Below are 23,934 nucleotides of genomic sequence, written 5' to 3'. Positions count from 1 at the left end.
ATGGCCCCCTTGGGTGTGACCATCTTCTATGGTTGAGACTGTAGGGATGAAATAAGCCCCAGTCTTCCATAGCGCTCCCAGGCTTATTAGGATAATGAAATTCCCGCCTAGTAAATTTTGGTCAGATCAGTTGCTCTCAAACCCTGTCTCCTGAGAAGATATTATCAATGACAATGGTGCCTGAAACTTCATTAGCAATTTTAATTTCACCCGTCTTGTGGTCCTGTGATCTCGCCCTGCCTCCATTTGCCTTGTGATATTCTATTACCTTGTGAAGTACATGATCTCTGTGACCCACACCCTATTCGAACACTCCCTCCTGTTTTGAAAATCCCTAATAAAACCTTGCTGGTTTTATGGCTCAGGGGACATCATGGAACCTACCGACATGTGACGTCTCCCCCAGATGCCCAGCTTTGAAATTTCTCTCTTTTGTACTCCGTCCCTTTATTTCTCAAACTGGTCGATGCTTTGGGAAAGTAGAAAAGAACCTATGTGAAATATCGGGGGTGAATTTTGCCCGACATCTGGCTGAATTTCCCCCGACACCTCACCACCAGTTGTTTGTTTGTTTGAGCACCAATAAATAGCATGGGCTCCCAGAGCTTGGGGCCTTCGCAGCCTCCACACTTGTGATGGCCCCCGGTCCCACTTTCTCTCTCAAATTGTCTTTTTCTCATTCCTTTGACTCCGCCAGACTTCATCGCCCCGACGACCTGGCGTTGGGTCTGATCACCCCAACATTCAGTGTATCTTCACCCACTCTGAGAATCATTAGCACTTAAAATCTTTGCTGTTTAAAATGAAAGTTTATATTTTGGTTATATAGGTTTGCCTGAAATTACTTTACTACTATATGTACTTTCATTTATTAGTCACATCATTTGAAATATAATTTTTTAATTTATAGTTATTTTATTAAATGTACATACAGTTTGAAAATTGCTGAACCTGGCCTTTGCCCTTCAATTTGAACAATATCTTTATAATATTGTAAACTATACCAGCTATTTGTTTAAAATATACAGAGAGAAAAATTACAAAGAAAAAGTAATTAAAATTCCACCATGGAAAAGTAACTAACATCATTTAGTGACTGTATTTACAAAGAGATAGTCAATGTTATTTAGTATCTAATCTTTCCGTTTTCCAATGGCTTATTATGTCAAAAGTATCATGTATTAAATGCATTTATATAGGTCTCTATTTCTGGATTTATTTTGATTTCTGGTTGCATGTACAGTATTGTTTTGACTTTTGCAACTTTATGAATTCATCACATGGTGCTTCATACACCAGCCAGCCACATCCTAATTCTGTGATTTTCTTTTGTTTCTGAATCATCTTATCTACTAGTAATTTATTGATAAATTTGTAACTTTTTAAAGGACTTCCCAAAAATATCAGATTGCTCAAGAGATTACATGTCCCCACAAGTTAATTTTGAAATAAAATGCAAATTAATGCCATAATTATAATTGAGATTCATGTATCTAATATATGTTCTTGCTGGTTGTAGGGAAAAAAACCCTTCTGGTGTGTTCTTTTCCTGTATTTTTTTTTCTGAATTTCCCCACCAATCAGCTCATGAAGGCTTCTTAAAATTTGGTCACTTTTGTGTAGCAATCATTTTTATGCCTTTTCCTTGAGATTTTTTTTTCTGGAAAAACAAAACAAAACAGAAACAATAAATTGAAAAAGAACAAACAAAAACAAACGTTCAGAAAAAATCAAAATTACTTTGTATGTCCTCTATGCACCATTGCAAGCTGAACCTCTGACCATCAGCATTTATTTATTTATTTTTTAACTTTATTTTAGGTTTAGGGGTATATGTGCAGGATTGTTATATAGCAAACAGTGTGTCACAGGGGTTTTGTGTACATATTATTTAGTTACCCAGGTAATAAGCATAGTACTCCATAGGTTTTTTTTAATCCTTTCCCTCCTCCCAATCACCACCCTCAAGTAGGCCCCAGCATCTGTAGTTCTTTGTGTCCATGTGTTTTTGTAGTTTAGCTCCCACTTATAAGTGAGAACATATGGTATTTGGTTTTCTGTTCCTGCATTAGTTTGCCTAGAATAATGTTTTCCAGCTCCACCCATGTTGCTGCAAAGGACATGTTTTTTTTTATGGCTGCATGGTATTCCATGGTATATATGTACCACATTTTCTTTATCCAGTCTACTGTTGACGGACACTTAGGTTTGTTCCATGTCTTTGCTATTGTGAATAGTGCTGCAATAGACAAACATGTGCATGTGTCTTTATAGTAGAATGAATTATATTCCTTTGAGTATATACCCAAAAATGGGATTACACCATCAGCTATTTATAAGTCAGTATTTCTAGCGAATCACACTCACTCTGTAAAAGGTCCTGCTGCCTGTGCAGATCCAAAGGGAGTTTTGAAAATTGCTACTCTCACTTGGTCTTTTTAGACCTGTGGTAAATGGCATCTTTGAAAGTTAAGGGGTGAATTAAAAAATTTAAGAAATCTCACCATTAATTATGGGTTACATTGTGTCCCCCCACCAAAGAAAATTTATATGTTGAAGTCTTAACTCTAAATACCTCAGAATGTGACATTATTCAGAAACAGTGTTGTTGCACATGTTACTAGTTAAGGCAAGGTCATATTGGAGTAGAGTGGGACCCCTCACTCAATATGACTGGTGCCCTTATAAAAAAGGAGGAATTTGAGGCCAGACGTGGTGGCTCATGCCTATCATCCCAGCACTTTGGGAGGCCAAGACAGGTGGATCACCTGAGGTCAGGAGTTCAAGACCAGGCTGATTAACATGATGAAACCCTGTCTATACAAAAATACAAAAACTAGCCTGACATGATGGTGGGTGCCTGTAATCCCAGCTACTTGGGAGGCTGAGATGGGAGAATAGTTTGAATCCAGGAGGCAGAGGTTGCACTCCAGCCTGGGTGACAGAGCGAGACTCTATCTAAAAAAAAAAAAATAGTTGGGGGAAATTTGAATGTAGAGACACACACGTGGGGAAAAATGCCATGTGAAGATTACAGTTGGGAAACTATACCCAAGGATCTACCAGAAGTGAGAAGAGGTGTCTGGAATAGATTCTTCCCTACAGACTTCAGTGAGGTCAAGTCCTTTTCAATAAATTGATCTCAGACTTCTAGCTTCCAGAACTGTGAGACAATAAATTTCTTTTCTTAAGTGCCTAAGTTTGTGATATCTTGTTATGAAAGACATAAGAAGTGAATATGCTATTTTTATTATTTTAACATTATTTCTTGTCACCAATCAAATTAAACCCAAACAAGAATATCCCAAGAAAAATTATAATAAACTCTCAAAGAGCAGACAAATAGAGCGTCCTGAAAGCACCAAGAAAAAAAGAAGCAAATAATATATAAGGGAGATCCAATATGCCTGGAAGCAGACTTGTAGCTGAAAATGTGCAGGCCAGAAAGGATTGAGATGATATATGCAGAATGCTGAAGGAAAAAAAAAAAGACTGCTGTCCAAGAATACTCTACCCAGAAAAGCTATATTTCAGAAATGAGTTGAGATAAAAAGACTTTCCCAGGCAAAAAAAAAAAATGCTGAGGGAATTCATCACTATCTCCTACAAGAAATGCTAAATGGAGTTTTTTGAACTTAAAGAAAAGGGCATTAATGTGATTGTTACTCTAGTACTGTAATTGTGGCATGTAAACCACTTACTTATATCTTTAGTATGAAAACTAAAAAAAACCTATCAAAAATAATAACTACAATAATTTGTTAAGAGGTGGGCAAAATAAAAGTGTAAATCATGACAAAAATCAAAACGTGGAAGGAGAGTTGAATTGTACCAGATTATTCTGTTTCTTCTCTTTTCTTTGTGATCAGTGTCAAGTTGCTATCATTTAAAATAACTTGTTATAATTATATAATTTTGTATAAGCCTTGTGGTAACTGCAAAGCAAAAACCTATAATAGATATGCTAAAATTAAAACACAAAGAATCAAAATATACTACTAGAGAAAACCACAAATAAAAACTGTAAAAGTGAAAGCAGGGGAAAAAAATGTACAAAACAAGTAGAAAATCGGTAACAAAATGGCAGTGTTAAGCCCTTACCTATTAATAATTACCTTGAATGTAAATGGACTAAATTCTGCAATTAAAGACGTAGAATGATTGAATGGATTTTTTTTAACTTAATTATATGCTGCCTATAAGAGACTCATTTCAACTATAAGGACACACGTAGACTTGAATTGAACAAAAGGAAAAAGTATTTCATGCAAATGAAAACTAAAAAAGACTAGGAGTAGCTATGCTTATATCAGATAAAATAAACATTATGGTCTTGTTTCTTTTTGCAGTTTTTTTTTTTTTTTGCCAGAAACTGCAAAAAGAGATAAGACCATATATAATACTTAAGGGGTCAATACAGCAATAGGATAAAACAATTATAAATATATATGCCCCAACATCAGAGCACCTAAATATATGGAGCAAATATTAATAGACCTAAATGGAGTGATAGTCTGCATAAAATAATAATAGGAGACTTTCAGCAATGGACAGATCATCCAGATAGAAAATCAACAAAGAAATATTAAAATTAAATCACATCCTAGATCCAACATTTACAGAACATTTCATCCAACAGCTACACAAGACAAATTCTTCTCAGAAGCACACAGAACATTTTTCAGGTTAAATCCTATGTTAGGCCACAAAACAAAACTCAACAATTTTTTTTAAAATCAAAATAATTTCAAATATCTTTTCTGATCACAATGCAATAGAACTAGAAATTAGTAACAGAAAGAAAGAACTTTGGAAAACTTACAAATACATGGAAATTAAACAACATGCTCCTAAACAGTCATTGGGTGAATGAAGAAATAAAAACAAAATTTAAAAATTTCCTGAGACAAAAGAAAATGGAAACACAACATACCAAAACCTATGGGATACAGCAAAAGCCATTCTAAGAGGGAAGTTTATAGCATTAAATATCTACATCAAAAAAATTTAAAGATCTCAAATAAACAACCTGATATTAAACCTAAAGGAACTAGAAAAACAAAAACAAACTAAAACCAAAATTAGTAGAAGGAAATAATAAATATCAGAGCAAAAATAAATAAAAAAGACAAAAATACAAAAGATTAGGAAAATTTGTTTGTTTTTTGAAAAGACAAACAACATCAACAAGCCTTAGCCAGACTAAGAAAAAAGAGAGATGACTCAAATAAAATTAGAGATGGCAGAGGAGACATCACCACTGATATCACAAAAAGGATCCTTAGAGACTGTTATGAACAAATACAAACCAAAAAATTAAAAAACAGAAAAAAAAAACAAACAGAAAAATCCCTAGACACATACAAACCTACTAAGACTGAATCATGGAGAAGTAGAAAACCTCAACAGGCCAATAAAAAGATAAGGAAATTGAATCAATAATAAAAAGTCTCCCATTAAAGAAAAGCCCAGGACTTGATGCCTTCACAGGTGAATTCTACTAAACATTTAAAGAAGGAATTCTAAAATAGCAAAAATATACAAATGGAATTATATCAAACTAAAGAGGCTTTATGCCGCAAAGAAAACAATCAATGAAGTGAAGAGACAGCCTGCAGAGTGAAATAAAATATTCACAAACTACGCGTCTAACAAGGGACTAATAACTAAAACACAAGAGGAGCTCAAGAGTAAAAAACAAAGTGTGATTTGAAAATGGGCAAAAGATCTGAATAGACATTTCATAAAAGAAGACACATGAATGCCCAATAGTTATATGAAAAAATACTCAACATCACCAATCATTGATAAAAAACAAATTAAAGCCACAATGAGATGTCATCTCATTCCAATTAGAATGGCTATTACCAAAAAGTCATAAAATAGCAAATGATAGTAAAGATGTAGAGAAAGAGGAATTTATACATGATTGGTAGAAATGCAAATTAGTACAGCCATTATGGAAAACAGTATGAAGGTTCCTCAACAAATGAAAAGTTAACCACCATAATATCCAGCAATCCCACTATTGAGTATATATCCAAAGGAAATGAAATTGGTATGTCAAAGAAATATTTGCATTCCCATGTTTTACAGCACTATTCACCATAGGCAAGATATGGAATTAACCTAAGTGTCCATCAACAGATAAAGTAGATTTTGAAGAGAGAGAGATATATATATACTCAGTGGAATATACTTAATGGAATACAATTTGGCCATAAAAAAGAATGAAATCCTGTCCACTTAACATGGATTATGATGTGTTAATGACAACATGGATTAACCATGTTAAGTGAAATAAGAGAAGCACATGACAAATGCTGCATGATCTCACTCATATGTAGAATCTTTCAAAAGTTGATTTCATAGAAGTTGATAGTAGAATAGTGGTTGTCAGAGGCTAGGGAAGGAAGAAGGTAGGGGGAGATAGGAACAGGTTCATCAACAGGTACAAAGCTACAGTTTGTTAGGAGAAAGAAATTATAGGCTAGGCACGGTACTCACACCTGTAATCCCAGCACTTTGGGAGGCTGAGGCAGGTGGATCACGAGGTCAGGAGATCGAGATCATCCTGGCTAACAGGGCAAAACCCTGTCTCTACTAAAAATACAAAAAATTAGCTGGGCGTGGTGGCGGGCTACTCAGGAGGCTAAGGCAGGAGAATCACTATAATCCGGGAGGCAGAGGTTGCAGTGAGCTGAGATTGTGCCAGTGCACTCCATCCTGGGCAACAGAGTGAGACTCTGTCTAAAAAAAAAAAAATTCTAGTGTTCTATGGCACAGTACGGTGACCATAATTAGCAATAATGTATTATATATTTCAAAAGAGCTATAAGAAAGGATTTGAATGTCCTCACCCCAAAAAATGATGTGTTTAAGATTATAGATATGCTAATTACCATGATTTCTATGTATCAAAACGTCACACTGTTCCCCATAAATATGTGCAATTATTTTGAGTCAATTAAAAACAAAATAAAAGGCCAAGGCAGGGGGATTGCTTGAACACAGGAGTTCAAGACCAGCCTGGGCAACATGGTGAAACCCAATCTCTACTAAAAATACAAAAATTTAGCCATGTGTAGAGGCGTGTGCCAGCTACTCAAGAGGCAGAGGTGGGAGAATCACCTGAGCCCAGGAACTCGAGGCTTCAGTAAGCTGTGATTGCACCACCGCACTTCAGACTGGATGACAGAGGAGACCCCATCTTTAAATATACAAATAAAATGAAACTTTAAAATTAAAAAATAAAAATACTTTTTCCTAGTTTCTTATTTTCTCTATCCTCAAACCTTCTATTACTCATGGCAGCAAGGTTGACTGAATTTCACAGGCAACTAAACAAGAGTTATCTCCTTTACTATCTTTTCAAGGAGGATCTTTAACTCTTTGTGATATTTCTGAACATTCTTCCTTCACTATTTTGTTTCCTTCCCCACCATATCCCAAGCTCTATGAATCCAAGAATCATTAAATACCATCATGAGCGTGTGTCTTTCATGAGGAAAGGTAGTATGTGCCATCACAACATAGCTCATTTTTATCTCTTTATCACTAAAACTACCAATGAGGGTGTCTCTGTACTCTAGAGTTGGAACTCAGAATGGATAGAGCTGGCCCTGCTGCTAATGAAAGGCAATGGCCCAAGTGGAAGTAGCTCAGGAAAGGCTAAGCTTTCACAATAATCTCAAGGATCCACATGGAGTTTTTCATTTCTTATCACGGATATAGAGTACACTGCTTCTCTCAGGACATGGCTAAAAGATTCACTCACTGATTTTCCACATCCTTGATGGTGTCAGGCAAAGGCAGATTCTTGGTTTCTGGTAGGAGGAAGACAATAAGGCCACCAATGATGGGGAAGATTCCATAAATGATCCATGGCAAAGTGGTAAAAAATACCGTTAAGGTCATCAAGAGGGGAGCCAGTGCTGCTCCAATCCTACTAGCCGTTAAATCTATTCCTGAAGCTCTTGCCCTACAGATAAATAACAATACATGATAATCAGAAAAAAAATCTACACATGTAATTTGTGACATATTATTTTGACTTGACTGCAGAAGACAATAAAACACAATCATTAGGTACATGGGCAAACAGCTGCTTTTGAGATTTTCTCTATGATTTTCTAGCTGTTTTTAATCAGGTTCAGTGTGAGTTAAGACTCCTTTTCATCATTTTAAACAGACAGTTACACATGACACCTACGCTGATGAGTGGTCCGAAAGATTAGTGAGATGATACATTAAAATACTGTCTAGCACAGTAGATAGTGCAAAGTCAGCTTGCAATAATCATTGGCCATAATTTTTGTTAGTGTATTATTAGTATTATAAATGATTGCTTTTAAAATAATAAACAGGTCTCAGCTTTATTCCCTCAGTAAGTATTGTTTAGTGGGAAATTCTTATTTTGGGCTCAGGTGGAGCATCTGTATCTCTTATACCTGAGAACAGTGGGGATGAGTTCAATGAAGTGAACAGCAACACTGGAAAAAGTAGCAGCAGAACAGCCGATTCCCAGACATGCCAAAGCCACACGCAGGGTCTGCATTTCTGGCAAAAGGAAGAGACCAGTGAGACTCTGATATCTGGGCCGAAGGAAGCAACATCCACCAAACTTAATTTAAAAACAATCTATCGAGTATTTGCATGTTTGAAAAATACTGTAGAAAACTGAATAGTGCCAGAGAACATCCAGAGGTTGATAAGCTGAGAAATTATCAGCTTAGAATTATCAACATAGGTGGCAAAAAGTGCATAATATTATCTGCATTAATGCAGGAAATCTCTCTGTATATCTAAGATTTTTCAGAGAGGGAGGAGAAACGGTGACTCTAGCAGAAATTTTTTCTTACTTATTCTGTCCAGTATTCGCTATGCCCATTCTATAGAAGGTAGAACCAGCATGTGGACAATTACTGAGGAGTCTGAGACTCAGCACTGTACTTGAGAACTTTACAATTAAAGTGCAGAATTTAAAGGGACCAGCCATCCTAGATTTCCCAGGGATGAAGGGGTTTTAGTGAAGTTAAATTTTTATTGATAAAACCAAGAAAGTCCCAGGTAAATCTGGGTAACTCAGTCAATCTAGTACAGACACAGTATTGTCACGAGTTGGAATTGTACAAGAGACTAATGAAAAAACTCCTTTGTAAGTGGGCAGAGTAGAGAGGCTAGATCCAGAATAATAGGCATAAGGAACCAAGCAATGGAACTTCTGCTTGGGGAAAAATAAATTCAGAATTTGGAAACCATTAAAAGGAAGTTTCAGAGAATGTTTTCTGCCTAATATAGAAAGAAAGAGAATTATAGATTTATAAGATTAGAAAGTGCTCGATGTAAGTCAGGAGATATACATTATTGATAATATTCAGGAAGAGGAATCAAGTTCCCCAATCTATTATGCGGTAAAATACATTCTTGTATTGGGAAGCAGGGAAGGCATAGTGCCTACTAAGGTTCCCCTAATCATTACATACAATCATCATATTAACTTATAAAATAGTCTAACAGGGAGTGAAATAGGCTTTTAATCTGCCTAGTTTATTGTCCCTATCATATATTCTTTCTCTGCTTGTAAACAAAGGATTTCTACTTCGTTAAAGTCAAAAAGGTTTCCCCTAATCAAGGGCTGCATTCATGGTGACTTAACATCACGTCCAAGTGTGGCTACACGGATAGCAGTGAGTAGACTGGTCACTGAAGACATAGTAATGAGGAAGAACCTAGACAGAGCCCACACAAAGGAAGCAATCATATCGTGTCCTCAAATGGGATATAATCGCAAGGCCTAGACATGCCATGCTTGTTATCAAAAGTGTGATTAACCAAAGGGCAAGTGATCAATTGATCTCCTAGAGAAACCGTCAGGAATGAATGTCACCACTATCCAGCTGCTTCCAGAGTTGATGAAGATAAATACACATCTGAGCTGCCCCTGGCTCTTTTCTCAATTATTAGCCAAATTCGTTTTACACGCTCATATTGCTTTGAGGGAATATGTAGCCTTTAAATGGCACTCCTCTTTATTCCTGGTTTTAGGCAAGTGTGACCAATACAATTCCTGAAGAACAAAGAGAAGACATTTTCTTTCCCCCAAAGTCCAGTCTTCTCTCACCTTTGGGCACAAACGTGTTGGCCAAAATGGAAAGGCCCACCAGGAACATGAACAATATCTGGCTTATTCGACGGCCCATATGATTTAGTGTCAAAAGAGCAAGACATCGAACTATGAGAGCGACAGCTCCATAAAGTACCTGCAACAGGAAAATGTTGCTCCCCACATGCTGAAGATTGACCATGGTACCATAAAAAGGTATTGTGTTTGCAAATCTGTGGTGAACAAAATAGAAGAGACACATGTCATAAGGTTTAGAGCCTATGTCCCGCAGTTGATTATCATATTGGCCCAGGCAGTTATTGGTCAGTGTTAAGGAATAAAGGCTCGGTAAAATTTGTAGAGTTCTTTGTTTTAAAGATGGTGATCTTAGAGCTATCATGAATAATTGCATGACATTACATAAGAACAGGACTCCTGTCAGTCATTCTTTTGTCCAAGTTCCCAAGCAGATAGTTGATAATGACAGGGAAACTTAACCTGAATCAGTCATCAAACTCAATGGTATATAAGCATTGAACACAGAAGAATTAAAGCTTGAAAATTAGGGAAATAATTCATTTTCTGAGAGCTGTCAGTATGCTGTAAGTGCTCTCTCTCTTCTCCCCAGTGCTACTACAGTGAAGAACTTTCCCTTTGCTAGAGAGTAAGGCTCCAAAAAGACTACGTGCCTGGCAGCACTGTCTGGGAGCACAGTGTTCTGGTGCCTGACACAATTCCAAGACATTTAAGGTGAGAAACAGTGGCTATCTCCTGAGGGGTCAGAGCAGAGACAGAGAATGTGATGAGTGAATAAGCACACTGTATGGACACAGAGGCAGGGATACATGTGTTTCTCTCATAGACCATCTGTGTGGGCTCTTTCCAAGTAAGAGCTGACCAGGAGCCATTTTAAGTAAAAAAATGACCATTCAACCACTCCACGTCTTTAATTGCAGAATTTAATCCATTAACACTTAAGGTAATTATTGATAGGTAAGGGTTTAACACTGCCATTTTGTTACTTGTTTTCTACTTCTTTTGTAGATTTTTTTTCCCCTTTGTTTCACTTTGACAGTTTTTATTTGTGGTTTTCTCTAGTAGTATCTTTTGGTTCTTTGTGTTTTAATTTTAGCATATCAATTATAGGTTTTTGCTTTGCAGTTACCACAAGGCTTGTAAAAAATGTTATATAGTTATAACAAGTTATTTTAAATGATAACACGTTGACACTGATCGCAAAGAAAAGAGAAGAAACAAACAAACAAAAAAATCTGGTACAATTCAATGCAGAGGATGCCTGAGGAGGATGTTTCTCACTAAAGAGGTTCATATCTCATTCCCCAGAGCTAAGAAAAAGTGTCAGAATCCAGGCAAACAAACCTACACCAACTTCACCATAGGAAATAAAATCAGAGGTTCCTACCGAGGATCTTCAATATACCCAGAAAGCATCTACAGAGAACTAGTCCACATTAATGATCTACCACACCCAGAAAGAGCTAGCTTTAGACATTATGGCAGAAGAAACTACCATAGATCATAGCAATTCCAAGCAAGTAAGTCCTTTTCTGACCACTATCTCTACTTTTTTGACCCACTCTGACTGTCTAGGATTCAGAAGCCAGAGTCTGTAATGTAGTGGATAGGGGAAAAGTGATAAAGCACAATGCAATTAAATGAAGTAGCCACCTATAGGATATGCCTAGGAAGAGGTAAACTGTATAATTTAATAGTACTGTCTTCAGCTTGGAAGTGGACATACGCTCTCCTGTAACACTTTTTATAAGTTTTCAAAAATTTAGAATTATATTTAAAATTTTTCCTACTGACACTACCAAAGTAAGTACTTACATGTCCCCAAGAGACAATGTACAAGCTTGCCTACAGAAGCCCTTCTGCGAACACCCGAAATTGGAAATATGTAAAAGTCCACCAACAAAGAAGTAGGTAAAGAAATTGTTCTGTATTCATCTATTGGAATACTGAAACACTGGGAAGGAGAACAACCTACTATTACAAGCAACAGCACTGATAAATCTTGAAGGAATAAAGTTGAGGAAAAGGAGCCTGTGACAAACGGAGCCATGTTATCTTTTACATTTTGTGAAGGTCAAAATCAGGCAATAATCCTTCATGGTGATGGAGGCCAGAACTGTTCTTAAGTTATTTTTGGCAGGGGCAGTTTTTATTGCTGTAGATGATGCACAAGGAGGCCTTCCAAGGTTTTTCTACATCTTGATCTGGGTGTTGATTACATTTTCTTTTTTCTTTCTTTTTTTTTTTTTTCTTTTGAGACAGAGTCTTACTCTTTCACCCAGGCTGGAGTACAGTGGCACAATCTTGGCTCACTGCAACCTTCACCTCCCGGGTTCAAGCAATTCTTATGCCTCAACCTCCTAAGTAGCTGAGACTACAGCTTTGCACCACCACTCCTGGCTAATTTTTGTATTTTTAGTAGAGACGGGGTTTCACCATGTTGGCCAGGCTGGTCTCGAACTCCTGACCTCAGGTGATCCACCTGCCTTAGCCTCCTAAAGTGTTGGGATTACAGGCATGAGCCATCACGCCTGACTTGATTACACTTTTTATGTATAAAAATATTCATGGAGTTGTATACATTCATAATCTGTGCACATTACTAAGATTTGTTTCAAGTAGAATTGAAAAAAATAAAGAAAATTAAACAACACAATTTACCTCAGTATCAATCACCAATGATGAGACTGGTAGGATGATGTGAGTCTACATAACCCTCTGCCTCTCTTCAAATGTAGCAGTTACCTGTGTATTTTCTTCATCTTTTATCTACAAATCAGTCCTAAACACACACACACACACACACACACACACACTACTGTTGCAACCTTTGAAATAAGAAAGTGATTCATGTCACCAAACTTTTAATGCTCCTCATATACTATACGAAGCCTACCTCAAAAATACCAGGATACAGATCCTTTTACGCATACTGGGGTTGCGGAACAAGTCACACACAGTAGTTTTGGTCTGTGCTGCATCCAGCTCCTCCTGCATGGTGGATCTTACAACCTTCAATAATAAACATTTATCATTTATCAACATCATCCCAGGCATTGTTGTGAGAACTGGCACTTAGTAGGACAAGAGAAATATGTTCCCTTTCTCTCGAGTGTGATATATGATATGCAATTACAGAAGTGAAAGCGGTGTGAAGAAAAATGAAGGAGAACATTAAAGGAGCCTCCAGGAAATTATGCAGCAATAAAGACATTTGAAAATAAGGCCCCAAAGGGTTATAGTGTATCCACAAGGATGCATAGGTTGTAGATTCAGATCAGGAAGTGAACTAAAGAAAGAGATAGTTACATAATTCCCAAAGCTTCTTTTATATGAGATGGCCTTGAAAAAATAAGAACCGAGCTTGTGTTCTCAGCTAGCTGCCCTTCTTAGAAGCAGTTAGTCTGTCTCAATAAGGAGAAGGCAGATGTCAGCGTATGTCTTCCCTTCAACCCAGTAACCACCTTCCCTTTCCTACTCACCTCTATGTTCAGGGTTTCTTCAGCATTCTTTATTCCATTTGTGCGTGCAACTTTTCTAAGTGCCTTTAAGCCCTCATCTAGTTTATTGGTGATTATCAACCACCGAGCAGATTCCACCAGCCACCTGATACAAGAAAAATACACAAGTGCAGTCATCTCTGTCTTTCTTATTAGTCATATGATTATTGGCTATGGATGCCTTTTGTCTTCCATTTATTATCCACCACTTAGTTGTATTGAAAACACAAAGTCCTATTTTATTATACAAATACTAGGAAAATATGACCATGATCCTGCAATACACCTTCAAGGTTTAGCAACAGACTTTGGAGACAAATCACTTCTTTGTTTGATCACAGGAAAATTTTCAAAGAAGTCTGTGAAGCTTAAGCTTTAGGGTCCCTACATGCGTAAGTTCTTTCCAAAGTTTGGCGTGAGTTCTAGCAAATTTATGTTCATGATATGTATTGTTTAAGAAAAATAAGTCTTCAACTTATGTAAGGTTAAAGCTGCTCAAAGGTTGGAAGTACTTCTGCCACTACCAGCTATGCTGGTAACTTACTATGCAAGTGAGTCACTCATTTACATCTACTTCAGTTTCCTCATCAATAAAACAAAAACAGCAGTGCCATATTCCTTACTGGGTTGTTATGAAGATGAAATAAGATAATGGAAGAGTCTGACATGGATTATACTCTACTGTCTATCGGAATTCATCTCACTGTGTGAAATATATAGTAATATCTCAATATTCCAGTAATTTCTAACTGAATCTGATGCTTCCATAGATTGGTTTCAAATGTAGAGATGAAATTAGCCACAAATAAATGTTTGTTAAAATTATCTAATGGAGGAGGAAGTGCTGAACACATGCTATAAATCACTCAGTCTGCCCAACTTTTAGTACTGGTGAAATGGTCCTGCACTATTGTCAAAGAGTTATATGAATACACTTGTGGTTTCTTCCAATTTCACCTATAAAAGTGAAAAACATTACACATATCACCATAACTTGATTTATTTCAAGGCAAAAATGAATCAAAGATATTCTTTTTGAAACATCTGAATCTATATGTTTAGTAAAAAAAAGATGGAATCATTCTATGTCTACAATAAAAGTTTTTCCAATTTTATGTCAGAACTCCCAGGCAGAAGAGCCATTGCTATTTACCATTTTTTCTCAAGCTGCACAGAGTGAATAAATGAGAACATGGGTCTAGGTCCAGAAGTGGCAATAAGAAAATCAATATGTTCTTATTCAATATTCATTTTCATCCCAGGACCCCATAAGGCAAAGTGAGAGAGAAAGCTCCTACCTTGAAAGAAGAAAGAAGACAAAGAAAGGTACAGACGCCACCACGTGCAGGGTTTGCCAGTCTCGGAAGACATAAGCCAAGCCTCCCAGGATTATCTGTCCAATACTAAGGGCACCAGATGACAATATTACTACCAGGGCTTTAGAGTTGGGCCTTATCCACTCAGTAACTGAAAGAAAACCCATATAGCATTTAAGGTCAAATAGAGATGAAATTTCAAGGTCAAATTAAAGGGTCATAAAATAGAGAAGATCACAATTATTGACTTACTGGGCAAAGAATTATTTGATATAATGATCATGGAAGAAAAACCTGCCAAGAAGCGTAGTACACAGTAAACAGGGAAGGTGGGAGCGAAGGCAGCGCAGGTGTCAGTAATGGCAAGCTGGAGCAAACACCATCTGAGAATAAATCTTCGCCCAAACCTGAGAAACAGCGAGTCATGTTAGATTATGACAGCAATAATAATTTATGGTAAAAACTTAAGAAAATGAAAGCTCACTCTAAAATTTGATAATATTTTAACTAATTATTTTGTGTACTTTAAATCCTGAAATATCAAGAGCTAAATTGACACAGAAATATCCTCAGAAGTAACCCTCCCTGTTTATAATATACACTAACAATATCAAAATCAAACCTTCATCACTTAATAATAAGAAGGCCTCTGATACCAACAGATACTGTAGAAAAGAAGCTACAATGTTGGAAATTGTAATATGAATAAGTATCTACTATATTGACATATGTATCCAGCATAGTAGAGAGTCTACATAGTATATGAAATACAAGGGAGCTAAATATGTATTTGGGTCTCTAAGACCATGCAGGCCAAGGCTAAACTTATGTATAAGATACATCAGTGGAACAATGCATCAAAGTTTCTGTTGGGTTGCCTAAGAGGCTCTCATAAAGAAACATGGACTCCCATTGTTGATCTGGGTTTATAGGCCTCTGTGTTCCAGCTAGAACAAAATATAAGAGAGCCACAACCCAGAAAGAGAAAAGTACAGAAACTTCTCAGAGGAAAAAAATACGTAGAAAGTAGAGTGAAGGGAGAGAGAAAGTGAAGGCTGAAAAGGGAAAGGAAATTTGGCATTTTACAGGGTGTTTGTAAAGACAGGTCTTAAAGGGGACAACTTGGACTAAATGGGGTGTGCTTATTGTATATGCCCAGTAATATTAACAAACAAAGTTTTGGGTTGGGAACTGTTCTACATTTGAAATGGAACTCTAGATATATTTAAATAGTATCTAGAGGAGTGGTATCAGCAAGATAGCTAAGTAGAGACTCCTGACACTCATTCCCCCCAACCCACACACCAATGAGAAAAAAACCAAGGCAACAAATAAACAGGTAAGATTTCACTAGAGTGTGGAAGGGAGAGCACTGCAATGCAGCGAGGGGGTGGAGACACACCTGTGGAGATTGGAAGTCCAGGAGGGCAGCATGGAGGCACCCAGCCTCTGTAGCAGAAGAACCCACCAGTCTCCATTGCCACCACAAACAGCAACAGTTCTTACCATAGGAGAATTTCATAGTCCGCACAAGTCCTGAGTCCAAAAGAGAGCTGCCGAAAATTTACCCAACTGCATTGCCCAGATTAGGGGCACAAAGTATTATTCCCCAGGTCACGCCTATCCCTTGTGAGTCAAGCTGTTGCAGCATGGCACCATCTTGAGACCAGAGCCACCTCTGGAGTGCATCCTGTCCTGGGGGCCAGTAGCCACTGCACCTCTCCAGCACTGGAACTCTATCTTCATTCCATGAAGCCCACATCAGTGACTGAACACCACAACCCCAGCAGTGCAGAGTCTGGGCTTAGGATCAGTGGTGGCTCTGGTCCTACAAAGCAGAGAAACAAATCCCACCACCCTCATTTTCATCTGGAAAAACAATCTGGCAATTCTGCCCAGGGTGAACCCACTGTTGAGCCAGCTAAACTGCTGCATACCCTTCCCCAAGGGGGAAAGACCCTGGAACTCTATGCAACTAACAGCCTTCCAGCCAGTAAAGCCTGCTCCTATGCTCCTCTTTCTAGAACCTGAGGATAGCTCCATGATGCTCCACCCCCTGCAGACAAGCCCTTGGTATGCCCAATGGCCCTGCACCTGCAATCAGGATGTCAGAACAACTGAAAGCTTCGCTGGCACTCAGACCTCCAGGCTGGCTGAGTAGCTGTGTGCCCATGTCCTGGGTCTGAGAAAACAGCCCTGTGGGGGACTACTGGCAGGCTTGCCACCAGCCTGGCAGAGCAACCTCATGTATGTGTTCCTGGCCAGAATAATAGCTCCATAAGTCTAACTTGGCTTAACTTGGCCAAATCACCACGTGCATGCATGCACCCCACATCTGAGAAACAGCCTGGCAAGCCGACCCCCAGCAAAGCCTTACCACAACCATAACCAACTCTTGCAGCCTATGCCACTAAGACACTAGCACATGTCACTAGCCTAGGTTAAAGCTGAAGAAACTACACAGAAAGAATACTACTGTGCCCACCTAGAACCAAAGCCTGACACACCCCATAAAACTGACGACACAAGACCCATTCATACAAATAAGCCTTTCCTTATGAAATCTCTTCATAAAATTGTAAGAGGCAACCTTTCCACTCAACCAAAGAAATCAATGTAGAGACAAATCAAACATTACAAAGGAAAGAAATTTGACACATTTAAAGGACCACAATAATTTTCCTGTAACCGGCCCCAATTATAGACAAATATACAAAATGCCAGAAAATGAATTCAAAATAACAATATTAAAGAAACTCAGGGAGATACAAGAAACTATAGACAATTCAATATAATTACAAAAACAATACATTATTTAAATGAAAAATTTAACAAAGACATAGATATAAAAAAGAACCAAACAGAAATCTTACAGTTGAATATTCAATGAATGAAGTAAAAAAAAATGCAACTGACAGCTTCAACCATAGACTGGAACAAGCAGAAATAATTTCTGAGCTTAAAGACAGTTTGCTAAAAATAATAGAGGCAGATGAAAGAAAAAAGAATTACAAAGAATGAAGAAAACCTACCGAATGTATAAACACCAGTAAGTGAATAAATATTTGCATTATGAGAATTCCAGAAGAAGGGAAGTGAAACGGTTAGAAAATATATTTTATGATACTTTATGATATGATAGCTGAAAATTTCCCAAGTCTTGGGATAAGCATGGATATCTTGGTACAAGAAGCTCAAAGAATGCCAAATAGAGTCAACTCAAACAGGTCCCCTAGCAGGCACATTATAGTCAAATTTTCAAAAAAGCAAAGATAAAGAAAAAGTACTAAAAGCAGCAAGAAGAAAGCATTGAGTCACACATAAAGGAATTCCTATTAGACTAACAGCAAATTTCTGAGTGGAAACCTTGGAGGGCAGGAGAAAATTGGATAATATATCCAAAGTCCTGAAAGAAAAAATTGTCAGAAAAGAATATTATACCCAGAAAAATTCTTCTATGCTTCAGAAATGAAAGAACTATAAAATCTTTCACAGACAAGTGAAAACTAAAGGAATTACCACCACAGAAACAGCCAAAAACATTCTCCAGGGAGTCTTACATCTTGAAGTAGAGAGATGGCAGTTACCATAATGAAAGCAAGTAAAACTATAAAGTACTAGGAGAACCAATAAACAAATGATAAAGACAGAAAGAGGAATCAAATCTAATCACCTCAGAAAAACACCCAACAAGCCTATCAACCAAAATAATAATAATAATAATAATAATAATAATAATAATAAATAAATAAATAAGTAATAATTTTAAAAAGCACCCAGGACCAAACAGAATCACAGCTGAATTCTACTAGAAGTACAAAGAAGATCTGGCAACATCCCTGCTGAAACTATTCCAAAAAATTAGGGAGGAGGGTCTCCTCCCTAACTCATTCTATTAGGCCAGCTTCATCCTGATACCAAAACCTGGCAGAGATTACAAAAACAACAACAACAACAAAAAAAAAAACACAAAAACTTCAGGCCAATATCTTTGGTGAATATCAATGCAAAAATCCTCAACAAAATACTGGCAAACCAAATCCAGCAGCATATCAGAAAAATTATCCACCATGATCAAGTATGCTTTATCCCTGGGATGCAAGGTTGGTTCAATATTTGTAAATAAATATATGTGATTCATCACATAAACTCAACTAAAGACAAAGACCACACAATTATCTAAATAAATGAAGAAAAGGCTTTTGATAAAATTCAACAACCTTTCATGTTAAAAACTCTCAATAAAGTAGGTATTGAAGGAACATGCCTCAAAAAAGTAAGATCCATGTATGACAAACCCACAACCAACATCTTATTGAATAAGCAAAAGCTCAAAGCATTCGTCTTGAAAACTGGCACAAGACACCACTCCAATTCAGCACAGTATTGGAAGTCCTAACTAGGGCAATCAAGCAGGAGTAAGAAATAAAGAGCATCCAAATAGGAAGAGAGGAAGTCAAACTATCCCTGTTTGCAGATGATATGATACTGTATCTATAAAACCCCATAGTCTCAGCCCAAAAGCTTTTTAAGCTGATAAACAACTTCAGCAAGTCTCAGGATAGAATATCAACGTGCAAAAATCGCTAACATTCTTATACACCAATAACAGTCAAGCTGAGAGCCAAATAAGGAAAGCAATGCCATTCGCAATTGCCACAAAAGAATAAAATACCTAGGAATACAGCTAACTAGGGAGGTGAAAGATCTCTACAAGGAGAATTACAAAACACTACTCAAAAAAAAAAAAAATCAAAGATGACACACACAAAAATGGAAAAGCATTCCATGCTTATAGGTAGAAAGAGTCCATGTTATAAAAATGGCTATACTGCCCTGATATGATTTGGCTGTGTCCCCACCCAAATCTCATCTTGAATTGTAGTTCCCATAATCCCCATGTGTTATGAGAGGGACCTGGTGAGAGGTAATTGAATCATGAAGGCATTATCTCCATGCTGGTTTCACTATAGTGAGTGAGTTCTCATGAGATCTGATAGTTTTATAAGGGGCTTTTACCCCCTTCACCCTCCACTTCTCTTTCCTGCTACCATGTGAAGAAGAATGTGTTTACTTCCCCTTCCACCATGATTGTAAGTTTCCTGGGGTCTCCCCAGTCATGCTGAACTGTGAGTCAATTAATCCTCTTTTCTTTATAAATTACCTAGCCTCAGGCAGTTCTTCACAGCAGGGTGAGAGTGGACTAATACATGCCCAAAGCAATTTATAGATTTAATACTATTCCTATTAAACTACCATTGAGATTCTTCACAGAGCTAAAAACTATTATTTTAAAATTCATATTGTTATGGTTTGGCTCTGTGTCCCCAACCAAATCTCACGTTGAATTGTAATAATCCCCATGTGTCATGGGAGGGAGCCAGTGGGAGGTAATTGAATCATGGGGGCTGGTTTTTCCCATGATGCTCTCCTGGTAGTGAGTAAGTCTCATGAGATCTGATGGTTTTATAAAGGGGAGTTCCCTGCACATGCTTTCTTGCCTGCCACCATTCAAGACATGAATTTGCTCCTCATTCACCTTCCACCAAAATTGTGAGGCCTCCCAAGCCATGTGGAACTGTGAGTTGATTAAACCTCTTTCTTTTATAAATTACCGAGTCCCAGGTATGTCTTTATTAGCAGCATGAGAATAGACTAATACTCCTACTAATTACAGTGGGGTAATTATGATAATGACAACCAGGCTGGGGAGCCCACAAGCATTTAGCTCACAGAGTCCAGGAGGGACTTAACACAATATCCCTAGCCAAGGTCTACACACCATTTCATATATTTGTATCTTCAAGGAGGATGAATTCTCTATTTTGATATTTTTGTATTCAGTATCCTATACAGAGATGCTGTTCAGAGATCTCTGTGGCAACAAAATGGCACTCACTAAACTCACTGTAATTCATTTCTGTATCTAACTCTCTGGGGAACAGAGCAGCACCAACAGTGTAAATTGCATATTGTAACTCAATAACACTTCTTTGTGAAAAAAATTAATTGTAAGCTGATAAAAACACTGCAGAGTAATGATAACCCTGATCTGGAGACACTCACCTGTCTGAGACATGGCCACCTATGATGCCTCCCACCAGCATTCCAGTCAGAAGTAGGAATTGAACCACTGATTTCAGTGACTGATAATCACATACCAGGTCCCACTGGAAGAGAAGGAAGCCAATACAGCATAGCTTCACAGCAGCTTTTGACTTCTCATTGTTCACTTGCTGCAATAGCTTTCAGTGGACACACTCTCTAGCCTCTTTTTACTACATTTTCTTACCTATACCATTCAAGTCTTGGCTTAAGCATGGATTTCTCTGGAAATCCTCACACAAAACCTTCCAGGTTATGTTAATGTCTGTCTTTATATTCATTCAGCACTGCATACCTCAGTGGTTCTCAATTTTTGTTACACATTAAACACATTAAGGAGACTTTTTAAACCATTGATGCTAGTATGAAATCCACTCTGATTTGCTTCTGTAACATGTAGCCAAAGCAGGCAGATTTTAAAAATAACACAGATGTTTCCAATTTGCAACTTAGGCTGAGAACAAGTGACCAGGAAGAATATTTTTCTAATCATTAGTCTTCTCTTCAAGCTAGTTTTGTGATAGCTGTATTTATATCTAGTTGGTTGAGTTCATTGCCTCAAATTCAATGTAAGTGCCTGACAATTAAAAAATAAGTAGCCAGGTGCGGTGGCTCACATCTGCAATCCCAGGACTTTCGGGTGGATCACCTGAGGTCAGGAGTTTGAGATCTGTCTGGCCAACATGGTGAAACCTTGTCTCCACTAAAAATACAAAGAAAAAAAATTAGCTGAGTGTCATGATGCATGTCTGTAATCCCAGCTACTTCAGAGGCTGAGGCAGGAGAATTGTTTGAACCTCAGAGGTGGAGGTTGCAGTGAGCTGAGATCTCACTATTGCACTCCAGCCTGGGCAACAAGAGTCAAGCTCCATCTCAAAAAAAAAAAAAAAAAAAAAAAAAAGAGCAATCACTATTTGCCAAAAGAGTGTCTGAGTGCTGACTACACTATCTACACAATAACTAGAGGCTTAAAGCATGTTTATTTTCTTCTAAACACCTGGATTGTGTATCCAGAACAGGTTAACAGGACCCTTTACCTTAGTCACAATGGTCGAAGGGAAGTAGCTTTGATCATATACCCAGCCATCCACACAGGGTTCTGTGTCTGCCTCACTTGTGCTGTGGATAGTCCCATTCAGGTGAAGAAGCTGCCACTGGGGATGGACAAAGCGACGACACTTCTCTGGCCTCAGATTTGAGTCTAGTGGGATAGAGATTCTCAAGAGGGCATCTTCACTGAGGATTCCAGTTTCATTACCAGATCCAGTATTATTGTCCAGCATGTGGACCCAGCAACGATGACCAGGAATGGCTGCAGCAAAGTTCTCTAGCAGTATATGAGGGATTAATAACATGAGAGAGGGAAGAATAAAAACCAGATGAAGCATCTGAAATCTCCCAAGGCCTCCAACTTGACTCAAGAGCTCCTCAAAGGCCATTGATTGTGAACACGTGACCCCCAAGAGGAGGCACAATGGCTTTACGGAGATAAGTTCAAAGGGAGAAAATATTTCCTTTTATTAATTCAAATTAAGCTTGTATTGATCCTCGCATCAATTTCTCATCCATGGGCCCGGACTCACCAGTGCAATACAGCCGTAGTGGAAAGAGCTTCCTCAGTTCTTTTGCTATCAGGAGGTAGATGTTATTTTGTAGTCATAGAGATCATTATTTCATAGAGATACTTCTAGCTGTTGACAATAAAATCCGTTTAAAGGTTTACTCTCTCCAAATATGTTTGTCCTCAAGTGACTCATGAAATTTACATTGGACTTTGGCATGTACATGTTCTCTAAATAAGCTAAAAGAAATCGGTTAAACAGTGTTGTTATTTCTAGGAAGTGAAATTTGAGAGACACAAAAGTAAACTGCTTTATAATTTTTCCATGAAAAGAGCAGAAAGTCAGGGTTTTTCTCCTTTAGTACTGAATTTAGATTAAAATGATGAATAAATGCAAATCCCAATTACCATGTTTTGCTTTTTAAAGCAAATTGGAATGTGATGCCATTACTATCTTTTGTTAACTGATATTATGCTTCAGGTTAAATCACATGAGGAACTCACATAACTTTAAATTATATGAAATATAAATAGAAGAGAAAGGCAGTGTTCAGCTCATATAGGAGTTTATTTCCTTGGGCTTATTTATTCATTTATATATAGCACATTGGAAGATCTTTTCCATGTTAGTTTTGGGAATCCAGATAAATTGTTTATTTTATTGTTATAAACTATGCCTCTATCTCTAGTGATGCTCCTCATTTTGAATTATATATTTTTTAACGTTAACATGGCTATGCCAGGTTTCTTATAGTTTGCATCAGATAACTTTCCCATGTTTTAGATTTTTAATGAAATGTTTTTTGAGATTATTATAGATTTACATGCAGTTGCAAGAAATAACACAAGGAGTAATCATATACTCATCACCCTGTTTCCTCTAATGGTAATATTTTACAAAACTGTAGTATAATATTGTATCAACATCAAGATGCTAGTATGATACAATGTAGTATAATACCAGGATCTTGATACTGATACAATCTACTGATTTTATTAATATTTCCCTTGTTGGTTTATCTGTATCCGTGTATGCATATAGTACTATACAATTTTATGTGTGTAATTTAGTGTGCCCATCATCACAATCAAGATAGTGAACAGTTACATCTCCACAGATATCCCTCCTTCTAGGAGAATAATATGGTATATATCCTTCTCAGGTTGGCTTTTGAAAAATCAGAAACTCTACAGATATTCATCTAAGTTGCTGTATATATGAATACTTTGTTCCTTTTTATTGCTGAATATTATTCCATAGAATGTATATACAATTGTTTGTTTTTTTAAAATCAATGTTATTGTGCATAT

The 23,934-nt window shown here is 37.3% G+C and overlaps 1 protein-coding gene across 10 annotated transcripts in view; it reads right to left on the bottom strand.

Annotated features, from left to right (window-relative positions):
• SLC22A10 (solute carrier family 22 member 10 (gene/pseudogene)) overlaps positions 1–22,764 on the bottom strand; it is a 73,242-nt gene extending 50,478 nt beyond the window's left edge. For 2 of the 10 annotated variants that reach the window (XR_007062480.1, XM_047426920.1), the window contains exons 1-9: positions 22,100–22,764; positions 21,024–21,127; positions 15,210–15,364; positions 14,940–15,108; positions 13,624–13,747; positions 13,038–13,153; positions 10,124–10,338; positions 8,451–8,559; positions 7,778–7,981 (exon numbers count right to left, since the gene is read on the bottom strand). Coding sequence is in view for 8 of the 10 variants with exons in the window: in XM_047426920.1 (XP_047282876.1) it covers positions 7,778–7,981; positions 8,451–8,559; positions 10,124–10,338; positions 13,038–13,153; positions 13,624–13,747; positions 14,940–15,108; positions 15,210–15,364; positions 21,024–21,127; positions 22,100–22,501 (1,598 nt within the window). In the remaining 2 variants the exon portion in view is untranslated. Of the gene's footprint in view, positions 1–883; positions 1,661–7,777; positions 7,982–8,450; positions 8,560–10,123; positions 10,339–13,037; positions 13,154–13,623; positions 13,748–14,939; positions 15,109–15,209; positions 15,365–21,023; positions 21,128–22,099 lie in introns of those variants that run through there. The other 8 variants (NR_134874.2, XM_017017699.2, NM_001039752.4 and 5 more) reach the window with 8 other exon arrangements.
• Between the last annotated feature and the right edge of the window lie 1,170 nt (positions 22,765–23,934).

This window comes from Homo sapiens, chromosome 11 (assembly GCF_000001405.40).
Source record: "Homo sapiens chromosome 11, GRCh38.p14 Primary Assembly".
In the NCBI taxonomy this organism is placed as follows: Eukaryota; Metazoa; Chordata; class Mammalia; order Primates; family Hominidae; genus Homo; species Homo sapiens.
The sequence above is the reverse complement of the archived record's forward strand: the minus strand, read 5'-3'. Positions and strand labels throughout refer to the sequence as shown.